General features: G+C 35.2%; 1 long non-coding RNA gene across 1 annotated transcript; it reads right to left on the minus strand.

Moving 5' to 3' along the window:
* Window positions 1-19,401: 19,401 nt before the first annotated feature.
* Window positions 19,402-22,136, minus strand: LINC00561 (long intergenic non-protein coding RNA 561). The gene has a single exon (NR_047491.1). It is a non-coding gene; the product is annotated as a long intergenic non-protein coding RNA 561 (long non-coding RNA).
* Window positions 22,137-24,447: the final 2,311 nt, after the last annotated feature.

Consider the following 24,447-nt stretch of genomic DNA (forward strand, 5'->3'; position numbering starts at 1 on the left):
GGGAGATAAATAATTTAGAAAATATCAGATCAAACCCAAGAGGATGGTAAAAGAAAGTTCCAGGATAGCAACTGTGCATCAACTCTAGTGAGCCAAAGTCTTGATTGTAATGATAGAGAATATCAGTAGATGGGTTTCCAAGGAAAAGGGATAGTCAATAGAATAGCAGCAGATGTGTTGCTGCGGTTGGGCAGAATTAAAAACATGTTAAAAAGAGAAGGGGAAGAGAGAAGAAGAAAGGCTAGAAAAAAAGGCAGTTAGAAACTCCAGAAAAACAAAAAACAGAAGTTTCTACAAGATACACAAAATATTCACACTATACTGCTTGACAGTGAAAAATATGTAGTTATAATGGTCATATTCATTTAAAATAATTACATAGCAATTCGGTAGGGTGGGAAAGGAAGGTAAGAGGTAGGTATAAGAGAACTAATCCCCATCAATCATAACCAGAGTCAATAACTGATATCAAAAACTGGTAAATATAAAAAGTAATATAAGAACAATATTTAGAATTGTAGAGGTAACTTACAGAAAAAGTACTTTTAGCCAGCATTCTTGGGGACTGGGAAAGGATGAGACAGAAAAGATAATTTTTTATTATAAATTCAGTGTTATGTAATCTTTTTTCACTATGTGTATAAATAAGGGTGATAAAATTAAAAAAAGAGGTTTGCATGACTTCCATAGAGGAGGGTTTCATCATTGTTTGAAAGTACATGATTTAATTGAGGGCATATAAATATTTATGGGTGCATATGTATATATGTGTATATATGTGTTTTATGATCTTTGACAAAAATATGGAAAGATATATATTATTTTCTATATAGTTTCATTAATTGGGAAGGGAAGTGAAATACTTGGAGAGAAAAGGAGGAAACATTTGTCTAACAAATATTATACTATGCTTTCAAATTGCAGAAATTTTTAAAAAGTTGAAAAACCACTGTAATCATTTAGAAAAATCTAGAAAGATTTAGAAAATTGAAGGAAATGCTAATATTATCGTGTGCTTTGCCAAAATATATTTAGTTTTCTCTAGTTGGCATTATGCACAAAACTTTCAGAAGTTAGCAGACTTCCATTATAAACAAAGGACGGGATTAACTGTACTGTTCTATTTCTAGTTTCATTCAAATCTATCACAGTTCCTTTACACAACCAAATTCTTGTTATTTTTCAAAGCCTTGGGAAAAAAATGTAAAGTCAGTGTATTCACGCTATTTGAATGAGTTCTTAAAAAGAATTTTAGTTTTCTTGTTGGGAAATGTTACGAGTGAGATATGTGCTCCTGACTTTATTCATATTTTTCTCATTTTTTCGGAAGGCAGAATTTGAAAATGAGCTCCAAAACATTTCAGTGCGAATTTCTCTACATTTGTTTCTTTCTAGAAATAGGTGAGATTCACTTGCAAACAATCCCCTCTTCTATGAATTATCTGGTACCTATTTTTTTTAGACACTTACTGTGAAGTATATTGTTAGGTCCAATTTTATATGAGGAAGTGTGGTTAAAAAAGAGTAATTTGCCTAAGAGTAAAACGTGAATAATGGCAAACTAAGAGTCCAACCCAAAATTTATTCTACCCCATACTTCAATGGAGGGCTACATGCAAAGATAAGATTAGTAATCCCTGACTTAATTTTTTTTCCCAAGAGAGTGTGCCCTCCCTCAAACTTCATTCCAGAGTGTATGTTCCCACATACGATACACACGTGCGTTTTTTCAATGTACCACAGAGAGACCAGCCACTGGAGGTATTCTGGATAGTAGTTAGCTAGCCTTGCCTTGATGACTTCAGATTATTTGCGTATATCTACCTGAGCGTTTTGTGTGAGAAAGATGGATTATAAAAGATTCCTAACATTGCTTTGTTTACTGAAAAGTTAATATGCCAACAAAAAGAAAATATACTTCAAGGTTATGTTGAAGCATAAGCAAAAATAATAAAGTTAGCTTCTTAGGGCTGGAATTGCAGCCAGGTATAGGGTGAGAGTGTAAACTTTTCTGAGTCAAGGAAGGTTCATTGTTAATTAGCCTTACTGTGGTGACTAATATCACAAGGTGTATATATTGCAAATTATCAAGTTGTACACCCTAAATATATAATTAGTTGTTGAATCTACCTTAATAAAGCTGGAAAAAATCATTGTGCTTATTTGTAGATATCTTATTCAGCCTAGCTCTGTGCTGGATACACAGTAGTTCTATTGGATGACATAGCATGTACTCAACAAACATGTGTTGCTTCATTGATAGAGAGCTGGCTTACTTGGTCACAATGAAGAAAACCACAAAAGTTTGGAAATGAAGATTGTAGTCTAAGAAGGTAGCTGTCACATATGGAGAATTCACCATGTGCCTGTCATTGTGTTAAGGGTTTTATGTGGAATGACTGACTTACATTTCAGGACAACCAGTTGAGTAGACATCATCATCTCTCTTTTTAGTAGGAAGTGCTAGTGATGGAATCAGTTATGGAGATTATGCTCTGGTGAGGCCTAGAAGAGAGTGAATTGAAGGAGGGGTAAAGGATCATCACCCTACTTTTTACTATGTCAGTCCAGCTCTCTATCCTAAAGATGAGAGTACCAATGGTCCCCATATCTGTATCACCAGGTGTGCAGAAGATTCAGCTTATGAAGTATTTAGATTCTCATTTATAGAAATGTTATATAAATTCAAGGAATTAATAAATGTCTTCAGCATGCTGAGCCATAATTCATTCCTATACCATGTTCCCCATTTTTAATGCTTAAAAAATGGAGATCACTTCCTCTATCATTCATTACAACTGTTGTTAGAGTGACCAATCTCTTGACTCATTTCATTTAATTTCATCTCTTTTGTTACTCTTAATCCTTTATGGATATCTCACTCTGATGCTTTCTGGGCTGAAATGAACTTCTCACTCTTTCCCTGTAGATTTTTCTTGGCCAATTGTACTTACGTTACTTTTTTTTTTTTTTTTTTGAGATGGAGTCTAACTCTGTTGCTCAGGCTGGCATGCATTGGCACAGCTCACTGCAATCTCCACCTCCCGGGTTCAAGCGATTCTCCTGCCTCAGCCTCCCAAGTAGCTGGGATTACAGGAGCATGCCACCACACCTGGCTAATTTTTGTATTTTTTAGTAGAGACAGGGTTTTACCACATTAGCCAGGCTGGTCTTGAACTCCTGACCTCGTGATCCACCCACCTCAGCCTCCCAAAGTGGTGGGCTTACAGGTGTGAGCCACCACACCCAGCCACTTATTTTACTCTTGTTAGATTTCTTTATTAGTCAATCCTTCCACTTTCTAAGTTGTTTTGGGCATTATTCTGAATGATTTCCAATGTTAGGAACTTTCCAATGTTGTGGTTAGAAACGTTCTAGAAACAAATGCAGTATTTTCTAGTGTTGTACAGAATTGGGCTTGGGGAAATGCCCAAAGTGTGCATCTTATTTCTATCTAATTTTGTTCCTCAGGAACTGTTGTAGGTTGAATTATATTCCCCCAAAAGATAGGTTGCAGTCCTAACCCATGATACCGATGGTGTGATCATATTTGGCAATACAGCCTTTGCAGATATAATCACATTAAGATGAAGTCATGCTGGAGTAGGTTGGGCCCTTAATCTAATATGACTGCTGCTCTTATATGAAGAGGAGAATAAGAGACACAGAGGCAGGCAAATAGGGAGAGGTTATGTGACAATGGAGACAGAATTTAAAGTCTATAGGCTAAGGAACACCAAGGACTGCCAGCAACTGTAGCAACTAAGAGGAAGGCATGAGACAGATCTCCCCATAGAGCCTTCAGAAAGAGAAAGGCCCTATCAACATCTTAGACTCCTAGTCCCTAGAACTGTGAGAGAATACATTTTTGTTATTTTAAGCCGCAGAGTTTGCAGTGATTTGTTATGGCAGCTCTTGGAAACCAATACAAGGACTGAGATGTTTTCTGATTTATCATCACCCTCACCTTAAATGTAATAGCATCAATGTACTGTGTACCCGGTATGTTCCTGGCACCATGCTAAGCATAAGCATAATGTCATATCTAATTTAATCCTCACCAGCCATTCCAACCTTCTAGCATAATTTTCTCTGATGTACATATCAGGATACTAAATATTGGTGAGGTTGAATCTGCCCTAGTAAAAAGTAGACCTTGATATGAATCCAAATGGATAAAAAAATTCTAAAACCAGTGCTACAAACCACTACACTATATTCCCTGTTACTAAAGGAGTATGATTGTCTTCCTTGCTTTTCCTTCCTGGCTGATGTAACATTTTGAAGATTATAGTTTCTGTCTAGTATTCTGACTTCTTTTTTAATAGGATGAAAGTTATCATTATTCTTTCCCCATACTCGATTCCATTTCTAACATGGGTAACATCCTCTGTTTTTACTATCCCTTCTCACTTCCCTTTTCTAGATAGATTTTGTTCACTAGTAAAGCTACAAAATCAGATTCGGAGAAATCTTGTTACTATATGTTTGTGTCTTTGAGAAAGAGTACAGGTTAGAACAACTTACCTGAAGCTTTTCGGGGAGAGGTGAGTCTAGCAAGACATAAATATGCTGTGTCTGCTTTTCCTTCAAGTCATAATTTGGTTCAAAAATTATTCTTGGCTGAAACAAGAAGCAATAATCAAATTTCTTGGCTCCAGGCCGTAAGACAAAGTTTTGAAAAGCTTCTAAGGTGACCTAAACCTTTTGGCATGATTGAATCTGGAAAAGGAGAAGCCCTAGAACTACTTTCCCTTTCATTTTGGCTATTTGATTGATAGTTGAAACACGAATTCTTATGTCATAGGTAAATACAAAATACCTCATAGTTTATTTTATAATCTATAAATCACTTTTATACATATTGTCTCATTGGATTCTCACACACTTTGGATATCTAGGCCGGGCAGATATTATTTTTCTCATTTCAGAGATGAGAAAATACTTGTGTAAGAGAAGGTATGTTTTCCTTAAGATCACATAGACAGTAAACATAAGTGGGATTAGAACTGGAATACTGTGGTTTCTAACTTGTCCAGTTAAATTTTATAAATCGTTGCAACTTAGTAATACAAATTATCCAATTCAACATAGTATTAGAAGTCCCATTTTTGCCCAGCCTTGACCCAAACACAGAAGAGTCTCTCTTCAAATTTCCTCAAAAGAATGTACTTAATGCCCTAAAGAAAGAGTGAGGAACATCAATTTCACTGATTATTCCATTGGGGAGTTTTAGGGCAGAAGCTGAGAATAGGGAGTAAAAAGAAAAAGACACAAAGGACATTGAAATAGAGAGGAAGTCAAACTATCTCTATTTGCAGATGACATGATTCTATAGGTAGAAAACTGCATAGTCTTGGCCCAAAAGCTTTTTCAGCTGATAAACAACTTCAGCAAAGTTTCAGGATACAAAATGCACAAAAATCTCTTGGGTTATTATACACCAACAACAGCCAAGAGCCAAATCAGGAATGCAATCGCATTCATGATTGCCACAAAAAGGATAAAATACCTAGGAATACAGCTAACTAGGGAGGTGAAAGATCTCTAAAATAAGGATTACAAAACACTGCTGAAATAAATCAGAGGACACAAATGAAAAACATCCCATGCTCATGGATAGGAAGAATCAGTATCATTAAAATGACCATATTGCCCAAAGCAATGTACTGATTAAATGCTATTTCTGTCAAATCACCAATGATATTCTTCACAGAACTAGTAAAAACTGTTTTAGAATTCAAAAAAGAGCACAAATAGCCAAGGCAATCCTAAGCAAAAAAAACAAAGCTGGAGGCATCATGTTACCTGACTTCAAACTATACCACAGGGCTACAGTAACTAAAACAGCACTGTACTGATACAAAAAAACAGGCACATAGACCGATGAAACAGAATAGATATCCCCAAAATAAGGCCTATGTGCCCACAACTACCTAAACTTCCACAAAGCTGACCAAAAACAAGTGATGAGAAAATGACTTCTATTCAATAAATTGTGCTGGGATAACTGGTTAGCCATATGCAGAAGATTGAAACTTGATTCCTTCCCTAAACCATGTACAAAAATTAACTCAAAATGGATTAAAGACTTAAATGTAAAACCCAAAACTATAAAAGCCCTGGAACACAACCTAGGCAATACTATTCAGTATATAAGAATGGGCAAATTTCATAAGGAAGATGCCAAAAGCAATCACAACAAAAGCAAACATTGACAAATTGGATCTAATTAAACTCAAGAGTTTCTGTACAGCAAAAGAAATCAACTGAGTAAACAGGCAACCTACACAATGGGAGAAAACATTTTCAAACTATGCATCTGACAAAGGTCCAGTAATCAGCATCTAAAATAACTTGCAGGAGAAAACCAACAACTCCACTAAAAAGTGTGCAAAGGACATGAACACTTTTCAAAAGACATACATGTGGCCAAACAAATATTTGAAAAAAACCTCAGTACCACTGATCATTAGAGTAATGCAAATCAAAACCACAATGAGGTACTATCTAATACCAGTCAGAGTGGCTATTTTCAAAAAGTCAAAAAATAACAGATGCTGACAAGGTTGCAGAGAAAAGGGAATGCTTAGACACTGTTGGTGGAAATGTAAATTAGTACAATCATTGTGGAAAGCAGTGTGGCAATTCTTCAAATAGGTAAAAACAAACTTTCATTTGATCCAGCAGTCCCATGACTGGGTATATACTCAAGAAATATAAATCATTCTAACATAAAGACACATGCATGTGAATGTTCATTGCAGCACTATTCATGATAGGAAACACACGAAATCGGCCTAAATTTTCCATTAATGACACACTGGATAGAGGAAAATGTGGTACATATATACCATGGAATATTATGCAGCCATAAAAAAGGAGATCATGTCTTTTGCAGTAACATGGATGGGGCTGGAGGACATTATCCTTAGCAAAGTAACTCAAACAGAAAACCAAGTACTGCATGTTCTCACTTGTAAGTTGGAGCTAACACATGGACCCATGGATGAGAACACATGGACACAGAGGACAATACATACTGGGGCCTATTGGAGGAGGGAGAGGTTCAGAAGAAATAAATGTTGTGTACTAGGCTTAGTAACTGGGCAATAAAATCTGTACAACAAACACCTGTGATACAAGTTTATATAACAAACCTGCATATGTACCCCTGAATCTCATAATCCTCATAACCACACTATAGATTTCTAAAATTATTGTTTCACAAACCCCTGGAAAGAGACAGACTTAAAGTTTAAGAGGGTTGAGTAGGTAGCCTGAGGTTCCATGGATGATAATGGTGGCGAACATTTGAATTTACTACAGAACACACACTCTTAGCTATTTTAGTGCATATGTTCCCCAAAATAAGCATTTCTTATGGGAAGGTAAAACCTTGAAATGGTTTACTCGGTGATGATTCACCAGGAAGGTTAATCTTAGCATGGAATCAAACCCAGACTTTCAATGAGACAGGTGAGTGGAAAACTGGTATTATTTGAATTAAAAGGGTTATATTTATTTTACATTGAAACTTTAGTTGGGTTCATATTATTTTGGTTCCGAAGTCACATCCTTTAAATAATCTCTATTTTGATTGAGCACTTAAAGAATTTACTTAAATTTTTATTAAAACCTGTTTGCATAAGCTTTCTTCCCTTCTCAGCATTTGCTCAGATACCCTGATGGGCCTGGAAGAGTTGAAATCTTTAAGTGATGACAGCTCTGTCCTGTTAGGTGACAGCTCTCAGGATCTGACAGACAATCCAATTGGTGTAACAGTGATCAGACTCTTAAGAAGCTAAAATCACCTTCAAATCACAATGAAATATAATGGGGAAGTTTGGAATAAAAAGTAGCCTGCCAATTATTTTTTCTTTCAAATTATTATCTGTACTGACTACATTTTTTTTCCCCACAGTTAAATCTTAGAGATAAACATTTTCATTTTCAGAAAGCAAGGCTGATTTAGAAACTTTATCTGAATGTTTCATAGTGAGCAAGTTTATTTGGACTCATTTAAAAATTGAATATAAACATCTTATTTAAAAGAGATGCTTGACATAGAAAATCTTTGCACACTCACCAACAATTTGTTGACTTTTTGGTATAACTCTTAGTACATATTGGAATATTTCATTAAAATCATTTGTCAAGTGGCTTTAAAGTGAATTTAATCCTTAGAAATACTTAGGGGATTTGTTTGGAATGAGGAAAGACAACCAATGCACTGAGAAATGTTTTCTCCAAATTTGAATGTGTTTGAATTGTGTTTACTATCATACGTACTATCGATTGAATTTTCAGGGTAACTTTGAATTTTCCAGAGATAACTTAAATAATTTATTCATTTGTAGAATCATTTAGACATTAAATGACTTTCCAGGTTTATTGATCAAAATCTTTTCTTCTCAATCTCAACATATTAAAACAGCTTTTATTAAATTCAACATTGAATGATTACATTAATTTGTACTATATGTAAATATGTAGTTAAAAAGCTTAATGTTGAGACAGATCTATAAAATTTTTTTCTTGAAAATTTTATAGTAAAATCTTCAGCTTTTAGGCTATTTGGTGATTTCTATTGGTTGTCCTAGCAACCTGCTCTCCATATTTGCTGCATTGATTGGACATGTCTAACTCATTGTTCCTGAGAGTAGACTTTGATATAATTGGATGCAGTGTTATAACATCTCTCTATACTGAAGAATTTATTGGTCATCACTGCATAATGATGGGTTTTCTGTGTCCATGTTTTGATTGGGTCTAGTTATAGATGAAGGGTCAATTTAAATGAAGAGGGACAACTCCTTATTGTTATCAGTGATAATCTGCAGTTGAAAAAAAAAACCCAAAATTTAAAGTGTGATTAGTTTAGAAAAACAAAACTGGAGTCATGTTCTGATTTTCTTTCCTAGGGCTTCTCTTTTGATATATAACTTTTCTTTCTGTTATATACATTTTTGTCAGGCTTTTCTTAGTAAAGCAGATCCAAGGTTACATTTAGTCTCCATATCTAACATGAGAATCTCTGGTTTTCCAGGTTTATTCTTAGGATTCAATTAATATGGATGCCTTAGTATTCACTGGTAAGGTTTAAAAGAAAAATAATTTGGAACTATTGCCAAGGCCCAAGATGACCTGGGTTAGGGCACTAATATGGGGTATATTGCAATACTTGGGATGCTTTTTTGGAGGCTGTGAAAACTCATCCAATTTAGTACCATTCAAGCAGTACCGACTAGTGATTTTAGGGTGCAGGCTTTGTCATAGTGTTAATCTAAGTTTGTGTATTAATGGCTTGTCCATGGGCAAGATGATTGCTTAGCCTTTTAAGCCTCAGTATCTTTATAAAGTGGGAATAATTGTAATAATTAAAATAGTATTTGTCTCATAAAGATGTTATGAGAATTAAATGATCAAGCAACATGTTTAGATATAGTAGGTGCTTAATAGTATTCTTGTTATTCTTATGTCAGCTAAACGGGCAGCAGGGGTTGTAGGAAGAGTTAAAGTTATCAGAAAATATTTAATTCATAAAGCAATCTGCAAATTCAAGGCAATCCCTGTTAAAATTCCAATGTCATTCTTCACAGAAATAGAAAAAACAAATCTGAAATTTGTATGCAATCACAAAAGATCCTGAGTAGCCAAAGCAATCTTGACCAAAAAGAACAAAGCAGGAGACTTTGTTCATACAACTGGATTTTAAAATATATTACAAAGGTACAGTAATCAAAATGCATGGTACTGGCATAAAAACAGACTGATCAACCAATGGAATAGGACAGAAAGCCCAGAAATAAACCCACACATCTATGGTCAATTGGTTTTTGACAAAGTTGTCAAGAACACACGAGGGGAATGAACAGTTTCTTTAATAAATGGTTCTGGGAAAACTGGATATCCAAATGCAGAAGAAAGAAAATGGACTCTTATCTCACCCATTATAGAAGAATATACTAAAAATAGGTTAAAGACTAAAAAGTAAGACCTGAACCTATAAAACTACTCATAGGAAACATAGAGGAAAAGCTCCATGACATTGGTATATGCAGTGATTTCTTGGATATAAATCTCAAAGCCCAGGCCATGAAAGCAAAAATAGGCAAATGGGATTGCATCAAACTAAAAAACAACTGCACAGCAAAAGAAACAAGTAATAGGGAGGAGACAGCTCACAGATTGAGAGAAAATATTTGCAAATCATACATCGGATAAGGGACTAATGTCCAAAACGTACAAGGAACTCAAAGTATTCAACAACAAGAAAACAAATAACCCTATTTAAAAAATTAAAATCACATGAGATATCACCTGACACTTGTTACACTGGCTATTATGAAAAAGATGAAAGATAAGTCTTAGGATGTGGAGAGAAGGGGACCCTTAAATACTATTTGTGGTATTATAAATTAGTATGGCCATTTTGAAAAACATTATGTAGATAATCAAACTAAAAATTATCAGATGATCCAGCAATTCCACTTCTCAATATACACCCAAAGGAATTGAAGTCAATATTTAAAAGGTATATCTGCACTTCCATGTTCATTGCAGCATTATTTGCAGTAGTCAAGATATTGAAAAAAATCTAAGTGTCTGTCAACTGATGACAAACTTTAAAAATGTAGTATATATACACAATGAAATACCATTCAGCCTTAAAATACTGAGGAAATTGTGTTTTGTGACAACATGAATGAATCTACAGGACATTGTGTTAAATGAAATAAGCCAGGTATAGAGAGTTAAATACCATACAATCTCAATTACATGTGGAATCTGAAAAAGTTGGATTCATAGAAGTAGAGTGGAATGGTGGCTGTCAAAGTCTGAAGATGGGGGAGAATGAAGGGGGAGACATTGGTCAATAGGTACAACATTTCAGTTAGACAGGATGAATAAGTTCTGGTCTATTTCACACCATGACGACTGTAGTTAAAAATAATGCATTGTATATTTCAAAATAGCTAAAAAGATTTTAAATGTCACCACAAAGAAATGATTAAAATTTGAGATAAATATGGTAATTAGCTCAATTTGATCATTCTACAATGTATACATGTATCAAAACATTTTATCCCATAAATATATATGATTATTATTTGTTAATCAAAAATAAATTAAAAATATTCATCTTTTGCTGAGGACCCACTGCTCCAGGGACTGGGTTAGGCAGTTGAACAGACATGCATGGGACAAGAACAGGGAAGTTTTCTTCTTTATATAATTCTGTACTTTCTACATTTTATGCCATAAATTGTTTTTTCGATTTTACAGTTTTCTTAATGTGAAAATATGTTGTCCTTTGTTATATTACTTATATATAACAATATATTGTTATATTACCTGTTAATACAACTTCAGGGAATTGAGTCCCTTAGAAAGATTTGACAGGATAATAGTTCCCATTAGTACTGCAATAGGGTGTGTGAGCTACCTTCAGGAGGTTGGGGACATAGTTTAGGAGTCAGACAAACATGAGCTTGAGCCCAAGCTGTTAGGTTGGTGCAAAAGCAATCGTGGTTTTTACCATTAAAAGTAAAGCAAAAACCACAATCACTTAATACATGAGTAGCAAACTGTGGCATATTAGAAATTTTACTTCATCTCTCTGGATCTGTTTTCCGATCTGTAATATAAGAGTGATGGTATATTCTTTGCATGGTTGTTGAGAGGTTAGATTAAGGGAGCATTTCTGTATAGTGCATTTAATGAAAAGTCTGACCCATAAAATTGATCATGTATTGGTGGCTATTAGCATTAACTGAAAGATTGTTGAGGTCAAATTCCTCTTTTACTGGTGAGGAAACTGATGCACATGAAAGTTACATAACTTTTCTGAGATCTTCCAGGTAGTATTTCCACTAAACAGGTGTTTCCAAAATGTCAGGTATTGAGTATGATCTTGCATTTTTTTCTGTATTTATATAATACCCTGGTATTATTTACTTAAGATTGTTCTTTATATTTAATTGCTTTTTCATTTAAATCAATTTGTTTAGAAACTATATATTGTTTTAAATATAAATTTAATATCATGTATTATAAACAAAGGGTAATTATAAAATTATGTAACAAAAACAATGTTGTTATATTTTAGCTAGATACTAAAATAGTTAGAAGCAATTTATATACCAAAGAGATAATAGCTTGGGAGAGGAGAAGTTTTAAGAGACCATAGCACTTCATGACATCAAGGAATTGGTACACTGGTAGTAAGAAATAGGAAAGCAGTTAGATGTTAAGTTATGGTAAGGGACTGGCCATTTGCACTTTTGGATATCAGAAATGGATTGGAATGGGTGATAATGTATAAAGATTGGTCATGGGGGTGAGTGCTGAACCAGAGTAAGATGCCATTTCTATTTCAGAAAGATGTGAAACCATCACATACTACTCATCAGATTTCCTAAAAGGATTTGGCTTGTTACCCAAAATGATAACTATGTGAGGCAATATATATGTTAATTAGCTAGCTTTAGTCATTCCATAATGTATATATATATACTTCAAAGCATCATGTTGTACATAATAAATACATGCAATTTTATGTCAATTTAAATAATAAAAGTGCCTAGTTTCTTTATTCTAAGTAATTCCTTAGCCATCCATCCCACCTTTCTGTTGTTCTCATTTAGTAAGATGGTTTTATATCAGCTGTTGCTGTTACTCTTATGCTAATGCATTGAACATGAGTTTTGCAGCAGGAAAATGCATTGAACATGAGTTTTGCAGCAGTAGGGCAATCCATTTTCAGTGACAGGTTGTAATGAACGGAGAGGGTTACACTATCAAATGCACTTCTGGTTGGAGTGATGGAAGTCCAGCATATACAATAGTCAAATAGTCAAAAAATGGCCTTTTGCATGCTGGTTAGAAATATCTAATATGACCACATTCAGAAAAGATGGTGTAAGGCATGTTGGAAAGAAACCTTTCTACTAGAGGCTAATTCTCCAGAATTTTCTTTAGCAACCTGTGAGTGATTGCGCTCTGTCTCAGTCAATATTGCAGGGAGGCAGTTAGTGAAGCACATAGCTGAAAATGTACAATATTTCTTAAAATGTGGAAGAAATAAAGGAAATCATTAATATGACTAAGAAACTGGGAAAACCTTCCCATCCCTAAAAACTATTTTTTCTTTTACTTCAATTCTCTTCCTCATTTTTGTTTTCTTTGTTTACATTTTTCTCTGACAGAACATCCTTTAATTTTTCAAGAACTGTAGCTTTGCCATCTCCTAGTTTCATCTTGTTATTTCATGAGAATAACTCACAAAGGAGAAATTTTCAGTTTAGAGAAATAAAGGCTTAAAAACATTGTAATCAAAACATGTGAAGCATATGCACAGGGTGGATATTAATTAAGATAAAGCAGGTTACCCCCCACATTCCAAAATACCAAGAATATTGTTATCCAGTAAAGCTTAAAAAACAATAGATTTAAGATGAAAAAAGGAACGATGGGTATTTAAGGAATCTATCCTGAGATTTTTAAAGAATACATAGAATTCAAATTAAAAATATATAGAAATATTTATAAAATTATAAATATCAATGAAGCATAACATTTCCCACATCAAATGCAAGAAAATATATCCAACTATATATGCATTTTCTTTGTACTCTCAATGAGTTTCTACTGAAGCCAACTCTGAAAGTGGAAGGTTGGTTAACTGGTGGTATGAGGATGAGCAGTTGGATAGATATAAAATTTGAGGGAAGGGAAGCAAGAAAACTATACAAACATTTTTTGTGAAGAACTTCGTGGTAAATGCATTGATGAAGCTACTCAAATGATCTTTGCTATAGTTTCATCTCTAACGTGATGGTAATTTTTCCACTGGCTGGAATGCTAGACAAAGTATTGTCATAAATTGCTTTCTTCCTATTTCTTTATAGGATATATTATGGATTTTTTCAGGTTGAAGCTATGAACAGTGCTGAACTAGACATTTTCTTTGCCTCAGAATCCTATACTAAGCTTGTGAACCATTTTTACTTTCTATTATTTAAATTTTCCTTTAACACCATCATTTGCCTTTCTTTTCAGAACTACTTTTTCCCAAGGAGTGTGTGTGTGTGTGCATGTTGTGTCTGTTTTAAGTAATACCCAATTGTAGCAAATTGTCCAAAACACATATGTCTGTGTCTTCTGGGTATGGAACACAATGTTGCCACATGGATCTGAATTTTTCAAAATATTCTTTAAAAAACCATAAGATCAACAAGGGAGTGCAAATAAAACTATGTAACCCACACTTTCAGTATTACTAGGAGAAAGAAAATACAACAAAATTAAATGACCTGTAAGTAAAAAAATAAACATCAAATCCCAACAGACATACCAATAGAGCTTCAGCGGTGACTTCAGCTAGTGTATGCAGAGAGCAGAGTCTGAAGAGACTATAAAACTGATTGGAAAAACAGAGCACATACATAAAGTACAAAATTCATTGCCAGGAAGAGAAAGTCTAACATTAATGCCTAAATACTGAGCTCATAGGTTTGGGATTTGGCAGTTCACAGCACCAGCTACAAGGAAAGGGCTTGAAAGTGTGAAACCATAGGTGACAACCTGGAAGAGTCACTGTTTTTGGAGAACAAGGAAAGATAAATGGAGAAGGGGTGGCGGCCTCTTAAAGATGTTGAAGAGGGTAAGAAACAAACTTAAAGGGGAAATTAAGGATCCTGTAGAAGGAAAGGAAAAAGATGCACCAACCTTTATTCTTCCTTAATCACCACCATCACTGACACGATCTACTTTAATAGCACCAAGGAGAAAAATTATATGATTATCCCCATAGCTGTTGAAAAAGCCCTTGATGTAATGAAATACATACATAATCCTAAAGCTAGAATCTTAATTAGAAACAGGAAAAGAGAGGCATTTCCAGTAATAACAGGCAAAAAGCAAAGAATATCCACTGTCCCCACTACTATTTACCATATTGGAGGTTGTACTTAATGCAGTCAGTCAAAAGAAATCGATTAGAGCAAGAGTCCCCAACCCTAGGCCATGGACTGCTACCATTCCATGGCCTGTTGGGAACTGGACTGCATAGCAGGAGGTAAGTGGAGGGCAAGCGAGCATTACCACCTGATATAGTTTGACTGTGTCCCCACCCAAATCTCATTTTGAATTCCCATGTGTTCTGGGAGGGAGCTGGTAGGAGGTAATTGAGTCATGGGGGTAGGTCTTTCCCATGCTGTTCTCATGACAGTGAATAAATCTCACAAGATCTGATGGTTTCATAAGTGGGAGTTTCCCTGCACAAGTTCTCTTTTCTTGTCTGCTGCCATGTAAGACATGCCTTTAACCTTCTGCCGTGATTGTAACTCCTCCCTAGCCATGTGGAACTATAAGTGCATTAAACCTCTTTCTTTTGTAAATTGCCCAGTCTCATGTATGTATTAGCGGCATGAAAATGGACTAATATACCACCTGAGCTCTGCTTCCTGTCAGATCAGCAGTGGTATTAGATTCTTATGGAAGTGAACCCTATTGTGAACTGCACGTACAAGGGACCTAGGCTGTATGCTCCTTATGAGAATTTAATGCTTGATGATCTGAGGTAGAACAGTTTTATCCTGAAATCATCCCCCCAGCCATCTATGGAAAAATTGTTTTCTACAGAACTGGTCCCTCATGTTAAAAAGGTTGAGGACTGCTGATTAGAGGAACAGGATTGGGGGGAAAAAAAACCCTACCAAAATTATCTCTATTTGCAGATGAAATAGTGTACCTGAAAAACTCTAGAGAATCAAAATAGATCTAACACAAACAATAAAAGAACTCAGCACAGTAGCTAGATATAAAATTAACATGCAAAAATCAATAACATACATGTACACAAACAACCAGAAGTTATAAAAAGAAAATCCCATTTATGATAGTGAGGAAGAAATAATACATGTAAGAATAAATTTAACAAGTGTTCATAACCTCTATGAAATACTCCTGAATGTTTCAAAAGTAGGCTTGAATAAATGGAAATACATCCTATGTTCTTGGTTAGGATGCCTTAATATTATTAAGATGTCAGTTCTCTCCAAAAGATTACTTATACATTTATTGTAATCCCAATAAAAATACCAATAAGTTTTTCTTTCTTTCCTGGAGCTAGTCATGTTGATACCACCTGATGATTAATTTTGTGCCAAAATTTTGTGCCAAAGTTCACCTGATGATTAATTTTGTGCCAACTTGACTGGGTTAAGGGATACCCAGACAGCTGGTAAAACATTTCTGGGTTTGTCAGTGTGGGTGTTTCCAGAAGAGAATCAGTGAACTGAGTAAAGAGCCCTCTTCACCACCCACAATGTGGGCCAACATCATCCAATCTGTTGAGGACCCAGATAGAACAAAAAAGCAGAGGAAAGATGAATTCACTTTCTCTTCTTGAGCTGGGACATCCATCTTTTCCTGCTTTCAGACACTGGGGCTCATGGTTCTTGGGTCTTTTGACTACAGGAGTTACACCAAAGGCTCTCCTTTCTCAGGCTTTCAGACTCAAACTGAGTTACACCATTGGCTCCCCTGGTTCTCAGGACTTTGGACTCAGGCTGAATGACCCCACCAGCTTTCCTGCTTCCCCAGCTTGCAGACAGCAGATTGTGGGACTTCTTGGCCTCCATAATCTTGTTAGCCAGTGTGCATAATAAATCCCCTCTTATTTACGTATATATGTATATATCCTATTCTATTTCTTTGGAAACCCTAATACAGTTCATGTGAAAGTTAATATGCAAGAATAGGAAGACACTGAAAATTAAGATCTATAATTAAATCAGTATGTGGTATTGGCACATAGATAGACCAATGGAATACAACTCTGGAAATAAAACCAACCCCAGGTGAAAATTATTTGAAAAAGATGTATATCAAATCACTGGAACAAAAATGAGCTTTTAAAATAACTGATGTTAAGACAAATGGATAACCACTTGATAAAGAATAAATTTAGATTAATTTCTCATAACACATATGAGTTTTATGTCAAAAGGTAGGTAAATTTGAAAGAAGTAACTATTTTGCAGACATTATATTAAAAACTGATTCAAATAAGAATTTTCAGTGAGTGTTAAAACTAGGGAGGAAAGTTTAATAAAGAGTAGGATATTTGCCTAGTCTCAGTTGTCTCCTCACAGAATGCTCACGTTGCAGCTATACTGTGCTGAAACTGGACAACAAATTGACTTGGTAATCAAAATTAACACTAATTAGTGGCAGGTGGACATCCTGTGCCTCCAGATACATTGTTCTGAGAAGGACAAAACATAATCTATGGGGTATTCAAACTAAGGATGCTTAATTTACTCAGGAGGAAATAACAGTCAAACCCCAATTGAGTAACTCTCCATAAAATACTATATTCTTCAATAATGTCCATGTTGTGAAAGACAAAGGCCAAGGAAATGTTCTGGATTGAAAGACGCTAGAAAGACGTGACAACAGATTTGATATGTGGTCTTAGACTAGATTCTGTGCTGCAGGAAAAAAGTGTTACAAAATACATTATTGGATCAATGAATAAAATTGGAAAAGGAATGTATATTAAAGTATTGTATAAATATAAAATTTCCTGAATTTGATAATCATAATCTGATTATGTAAGATAATTTTCTCATTTTTAGGAAATACATATTTAAGTATCGAGGTTAAAAAGGGGCATGATGTATGGATCACTTTCAAATGGTTTAGAAAAAGTAAATTATACACATATATATTTATACCTATGTCTAGCTATCAGAAAGAATGATAAAGCAAGTGTGGCAAAATATTAAAGTTTGGTAGATATAGATAGGAGATAAACAGAAATTCTCTTTACTACTCTTAGAACTTTTTTGTAAGTTTGAAATTATTTCAAAACAAAAAATTAAAACACATACGTGTAAAATTTTGAAAAAGTTTATTCCATGGTTATTCCATTGTATTCCACACAAGGTAGAAAATAAGACAGAAAAGGGAAGAAACTTACCCTCCAAGAATATATTGGAGTTTCAGGAAGGAGCAGAGATAAGTGTGTATCCCAGCTGTCCTTTCAAATATAAGCCTTGAAGCACCAAAATCCAACTAAAATGAAAGAAAAAGGAATACAAAAGGCAATAATATAAAGACAAAAGAGAGAGGAAAGTACAGCATTAAGACTCTGAAAGTTAGAAAGCACATGGTGCAGTGGTAATGGATTCAGCAGACCAGAGAAAGCTGCCAGCGAGGGACTAAGATGCAAGTAGATTCTTGTGGCAGAGCCACAGAAATTCCCAGGAATTGGAGGTATGAGCCAACACTGAAAGTGGGGGTGATGGGGGCCACAGAGAGGCTGTATACAGTAAGATTGGTTGAATGTCCACAGAAGAAGCATTTTAGAGCCACAGGATTCCTATTTCATTTCTCAGAGCTGCCTGACTGCTTCTGCCTTACCCAAGAAGAAGACTGAATGCTCTCTGGAGATGCTGAGTAAGAGGAACTCAGGGACTTAGGGACTCCAGGAGTACCTGAACTTTAGGTATTCATACGAAAAGTAAAGGATATTTTGAAAGTGTACACACGGAAAATATCCCATTCAAGTTATTCCACTTGCCTCCGAGAAACCAGACCACCAAGTTTATATACTTAAGGCAGGACATTGGGATTTTCTTCTGGGGGAAACTAGCTCAAGAAGACTTACAAGTACTGATCAGTGTCCCTGGGAAATACTCCAGCCCAGTAATTTTGAAATTAGGATGATGGCTGATACGCTTGGACTATGCATCTACTTTTTAGGTCTTTATGGAGAATTTTTAATACAAAAAAGTACAAAAGAAAAAGATTTTAGAGGTAAAAGAGACAATACATAAAACTTAACAAAACTTCAAAAAATATCTTGAGATAGGGAAAAAATGTCTCCATGGAGTAAAAACTGGGTGCAATAAAAAGAAACAGAAAAAGGGCTTTTGGAGACTGAAAATATGACAAAAAATTCAAAAAATTTGGATGATAAAGTTGATACAATTTTCCCAAAAGAATAAGACAAACAGGTAGAAAATTGATAAGAGAAGATGTAAAAGGTTAGTGGAAGAGGTCAAATATCTAGATAAAGAGAATTTCAGAAAGACTGAGGAGGAAATAAGGTAGAAAATTGTCAAGAAAATAATTAACTTTTATTTCTAGAACCAAAGACATGAGTTTCCAGCCTGAGAAAATTACCTGAGTATTCAAGAGAATGAATGTCACCCCCTGAAAAGAAGGGAAAAATACACATGAGCTTTACCATGAAATTTCAGAGCACATGGATTAAAGAGAAGATTATAAACACTTTAAAATGTTAAAAATCGTGTTCAAAGGATGTAACTGAAAGCCATTGGATATCTGCATAATATCACTCACAGGTAGAACACAATGAAGTCAGGTTTACCCTTTTTATTGTAAAGTGGGCATAAAATATTGTTTTGAGAATTAAATGAGAAAAACATGTAAAGTGTTAGTATACCTGCCATTACACGGGTTATTACTTCTAGAGGGTGATTAACACTTATATGTTAGAATCATGTCTTACCAGACTGCATGTTTTCCACAATGCCAACCAACATACATGGCTTGGCACGTATTAGTACTCACTATGTGTTGCATCCAGTAGGAAGTGTGCAATTGCAGTGGTGCAACTGATGGCTGTAGTGAATTTCCATAGAAGAGGTAAAAACATTCCTTCCTGGTTTTATGTGGTAGACTAAAGAGTCTTGGGCTGGAGCTCTGTTTATTTTGTGCATAGTCCCGCTAGAAAAGTCCCACAGGAGTCTCTGGTCAAAGGAGTAGTGGGAAGTGAATTTGAAACTCCGTGCTGGTGGAGCTTTGCATTCTGGCGCTGTTATGCATGGAGTCGGCCAAGTTTGTCCTTTGGAGCTCCCAGAAGGAAAGTATATGTACATTCACAATAGCAAACAGATTGAAATGTCAAATTATTTATTTGGATAATTTAAAATAATCCTTCCTTTCTCTTTGTATATACATGCCATGATTAGTATTCAGTATCTTCCTGGTACTTTCAGTCAACATAAAAAGGGAAGAAAAAGCAATAAGCTGTATAAGGAAGAAATAGATTTTTATCACATATGACATGAAAATTAACTATTTTTAATAAGTTGATAAAATAACATTATAGATGACATGAAAAAGCTACTAGAAATAGATTTTAGTGGAGATACAAGATTAATGTGTAAAAACCAATAGCATTCCCTTATATCAGAAATAAATTATTAGAAAAAATTCTAGCTTACAGTAGAAAATGCTTGGGGGTAATACTCCAGAAGTTCAAGATCTTTTGTTGGGGAAGTCTCTTAGGTTGCATGACCTGGTTCACTGCAGAAAAAAAAAATGTAGGTCATAGAAATTGTGGCTCGGTTTCTGCAGAGGTTCTAGCAACTCTTTGAAGTTGAGCATTGACACCCAGGAGGCTTCCAATTTGATACATGGACTTCTCCCTACAGTATTTTGAAACCATAGGGCTCCCTTGCTGTGGAAAACTACTTAGTGGTATTAAGTGTCTGTAGCTCTCAAAATCCCACTTCAGAGAACCATGTATGAACCAGAGCCAGCCATCACCAGAACCCAACCATGCTGGCTGTGTGATCTTAGACTTCCAATCTCTAGAATTGTAAGAAATAGATTTCGATTGTTTATAAGCCATCTAGTCTATCATAAATTGTTATAGCAGCTCAAATGAACTAAAACACTTCACACCTGAGTGTTCGCTCAATTTCTGTAGTCAAAGAAATGCAAATTAAAACATTGAGATACTATAATGTTTTACCTGTTGTACTGTCTAAATTAAGAAAGAATAGAAGAAAGTATGGAACAAGGCTCCCTCCACACTGTTGAATGGGACAGAAATGGGTACCACAGGTTTGGTAAGAAATTGGGCAAGAGTATAGAAATTTTAAAATGTGCTTATTTGTTGATCCTACAATGCCACTTCACACAAAAGTATATTTGTAAAAGGATAATTGCAGAATTATTTGAGTTCCATTTTGAGCTCATGTGAAATCAAAATAATATAAATGCGTATCAATAGGAAATTGTTTAAGTTATGGCATGTATACATATATATATTTGTGCATATAGGTGTCTATACTTGTATATGTACATATGTCCTCAAAATAGTGTGCAGCTATTAATAAGAACATGGCAGCTCTGTATGTTCCTGTATAGAGATTGCCTTCAATGTACATGAAAGTAAAAAGTATTACTTATATGTAAAAGTCATACATTTTAAAAACATATTTAAATAATTTACTTGTAAATTATTTATCAATGAAATGGAGCATTATGTAGAGAATTATCCAAATTTTCTAGTTTACAATTTAGACAATGAGACAAAACTAACAAATGGAGAACAATCAACATGAAACTGTCAGAGGAGTAGCTCTTCATGTTTTTTTTCCACATTCCTGGAGACATCAGGCTACATTAGAGGTAACAGAGTCTTTGAACTACATTTGACTCCCAGGGCTAGCTGAAAAGCCCTTTCTTCTCACAACTTATTTCACAGCCACTGTGTCATTGACCTTGCGTTAGAACCACTAAATCAGAGAATGCCTTACGTGGTCCAAAGTTGCATTAAGATTAAGGCATTTAGGATATGGAAAGGTTGATGCAGCTGGAGAGGTCTTCGGTACAGAGATGACACTGAAGGATGGCTGTGTCTGAACAGGTAGGATCTGAGGAACTTTACATCTTCTTCTCTTTCAGGTCCAGGAATACAAATGCTGATGTGATGCTATTCAGATCCTTAAGGTAAGGCAAAATTCTGATTGGAGCAGAACACTTCAGAAGTATTTTTCAACGTATACTGAGAAGTTGCTCTGCGACAGATGATATGCCAAGCAGCTGGGAAGCAAAGATGAGGAAGACATGACCCTGTCCTGGAAAAGCTTCTTGACTTGAAGGTAGGGAAAGAGCTGACAGCATTTTTATATTTTCTGCATCTACTGCAGACAACAATGTCCTGTACATCTGGCCAAAGGCCAATCTCTAGTAGGCTAATTTCTGTATGCTGGTGAGATGAGCAAAACACATGGAATCTCAGTTGACAAATAATTCAAGCAGGTTAATCACTTCATGCTCATGTTACCCCACTTGGTCTCCTTGAAAGATCTTTTCCTTGGGTTTGGGCTAAAGACTGTTTGTTTTACTGACCTCAGTGACTCACTCTGGGATTGGCTAGTCTAGATTCTAAGAATGCTCAGTTTCCTTCTTTTCAAAACAAAATCTCAATATCTATTAAAGAACTAAAACGTTATTTTAAGTGCAGTAATCAATAAGCCTGAAGAATAATGTTTGGAGTGTTTATGGTTGTGTTGAATGACTTGTATTTTCAAAATGTGCTCCTATGGAAAAACTACTTTTAATTTGAATGCTTAATATTTACAAGCTGCAAAAAGATTCAGAATTAATCATATTTCTACAGTAACAGTGATGAAAAAACCCCATTGTTATAATGATTTGTTTAATTTCCATTCATAATTCAGCCACCATACTGTAATTCTACAGTTGTATTTATCTTCCCTGTGTACTCTTCCTCCAGTCTGTTTCTCCTCCTGTTTTCTAGCCTACTGCTGCTAATTGCTCTCCCTCTAATCAGCAAGAATCTGAACATTTGAAGCCTTTTCCTTTGGCTCTTCCCTTTCTTTTGCCTCTATTATCTGGTCATTATTAAAATCATATCTTGCCATTTGCCTTCCTCAAATACATTATTTTATATTTTATCAGTAAGAAAATCCAGTTTTAAATTATCTATATGGCTTTGCAAATAAAGACTACATCTCCCGGTATTTCCGTATAGCTAGATGTGCTTATATGTTTTAGTTCTGAACAATGAGATGTAAGCAGAAATGCTATTCAGAAGCTTCCAGGAAGCTTCTTAGAAGGCATTGTGGGTGCCATTTGTCATTGTCTTTTTTGTCTCTTTCTACTATGTGCTCCCTGCCTGGAGCAAAAGCAGCCATTTTGAGACATGAGGCAACATGCTAATAAGCATAGTGGAACAGCAAGGTGGGAGAATGGTTGCTGGCCAATGGAAAGCTGACATACCAGCCCTGAACTGCTTAATTCTGCATTTATTTCATATGAGATATAAATAAATTTGTCTTTAAAAATCAGTTTTAGGTTCTCTGTTACATGAATCAAATCTAGTCCTAATTAATACTCTTTCCTTATACTTTTTTCCCATTCTTGCCATTCTCACTATTGTTATTAATGCCACAGGAAATTGAAAAGCAATGGAATGCAGACAATGTGATGAAGCCTTAGCAGCACAGGCTTTGGAGTAATTTCTTTTTTCAGTCTTTGCTCTATGTGTAACTTTACCTCTCTGTGCCTTAGTTTCCTCATTGTTAAATGGAGACTTCATACATTTATTGTCAGGAATAAATGAGATAATGCATATGAAAAAAATCATATGTATAGTGCCTGGTGGTAAGAGCTGTATGAAGGGTAGCTCCCTTAATATTATCATCTTGTTTAGTTTGACCTAAGGGAGAGATAGTAGAACAAATGCCATTGAACACAATATACTGATTGAATAGTTTAGTAAATATTAACCTGCCATTCACCCTCTTCTCAGCTCAATCATTTTTATAGTTATACTGAAATTTTATATTTGGCATGTTTATATTTACATTTAAACTAAGGTGCCCAAATTTATAGGCCATGCTAAATTATAGACTCATAGTAACCATGCTGTACACATTATTGATGTGGCATATTTCTCAAAATCTTTTTCTGGGATGATCTTTTATACCATCTTCTTTGGCAGGGAAGCATCTTGTACCCAAGTCTTATATTATCTTCTATAATATTTACCATACCTGGAGGTTTATTCTGCTTGTATAATATTTACCAAATCTGGAGGTTTATTCTCTACTTTTTTTTCATGTACACATAAGCCTGTGAAACAGAATGTTCTTCAGCAACAGCCTGATTCCCAGATTAAAATACTCAGCCCAACACTTATATCAGATCTCACACTTCCTCTTTTCTTTTCAAAGATCTTTTCAAAATTAAAAAAAAAATCTTTATCCCAATAGTGTTCATGACATAGCTCAAATATGCTAGCTACATTGTTGAACAGTCTTATCCTTTTTCTTTTTTTGGATACAGGGTCTTGCTCTGTCGCCAAGGCTGGAGTGCAGTGGTGCTTTCTCAGCTCACTGCAGCTTGATCTTCTGGGTTCAAGCAATCCTCCCACCTCAGCCTCCTGTGTAGTGGGGACCACAGGTGTGTGCCACCTCAACTGGCTAATTTTTTTTTTTTTTTTTATTTTTCGTAGAGATAGTTTTCGTCATGTTGCCCAGGCTGGTCTTGAACTCCTGAGCTCAAGCAATCCAACTGCTTCGGCCTCCCAAAGTGCTGGGATTACAGGCATGAGCCATCATGCCCAGCCGATAGACTTATTCTTAA

Source organism: Homo sapiens, chromosome 13 (genome assembly GCF_000001405.40).
Source record: "Homo sapiens chromosome 13, GRCh38.p14 Primary Assembly".
Taxonomy (NCBI): domain Eukaryota; kingdom Metazoa; phylum Chordata; class Mammalia; order Primates; family Hominidae; genus Homo; species Homo sapiens.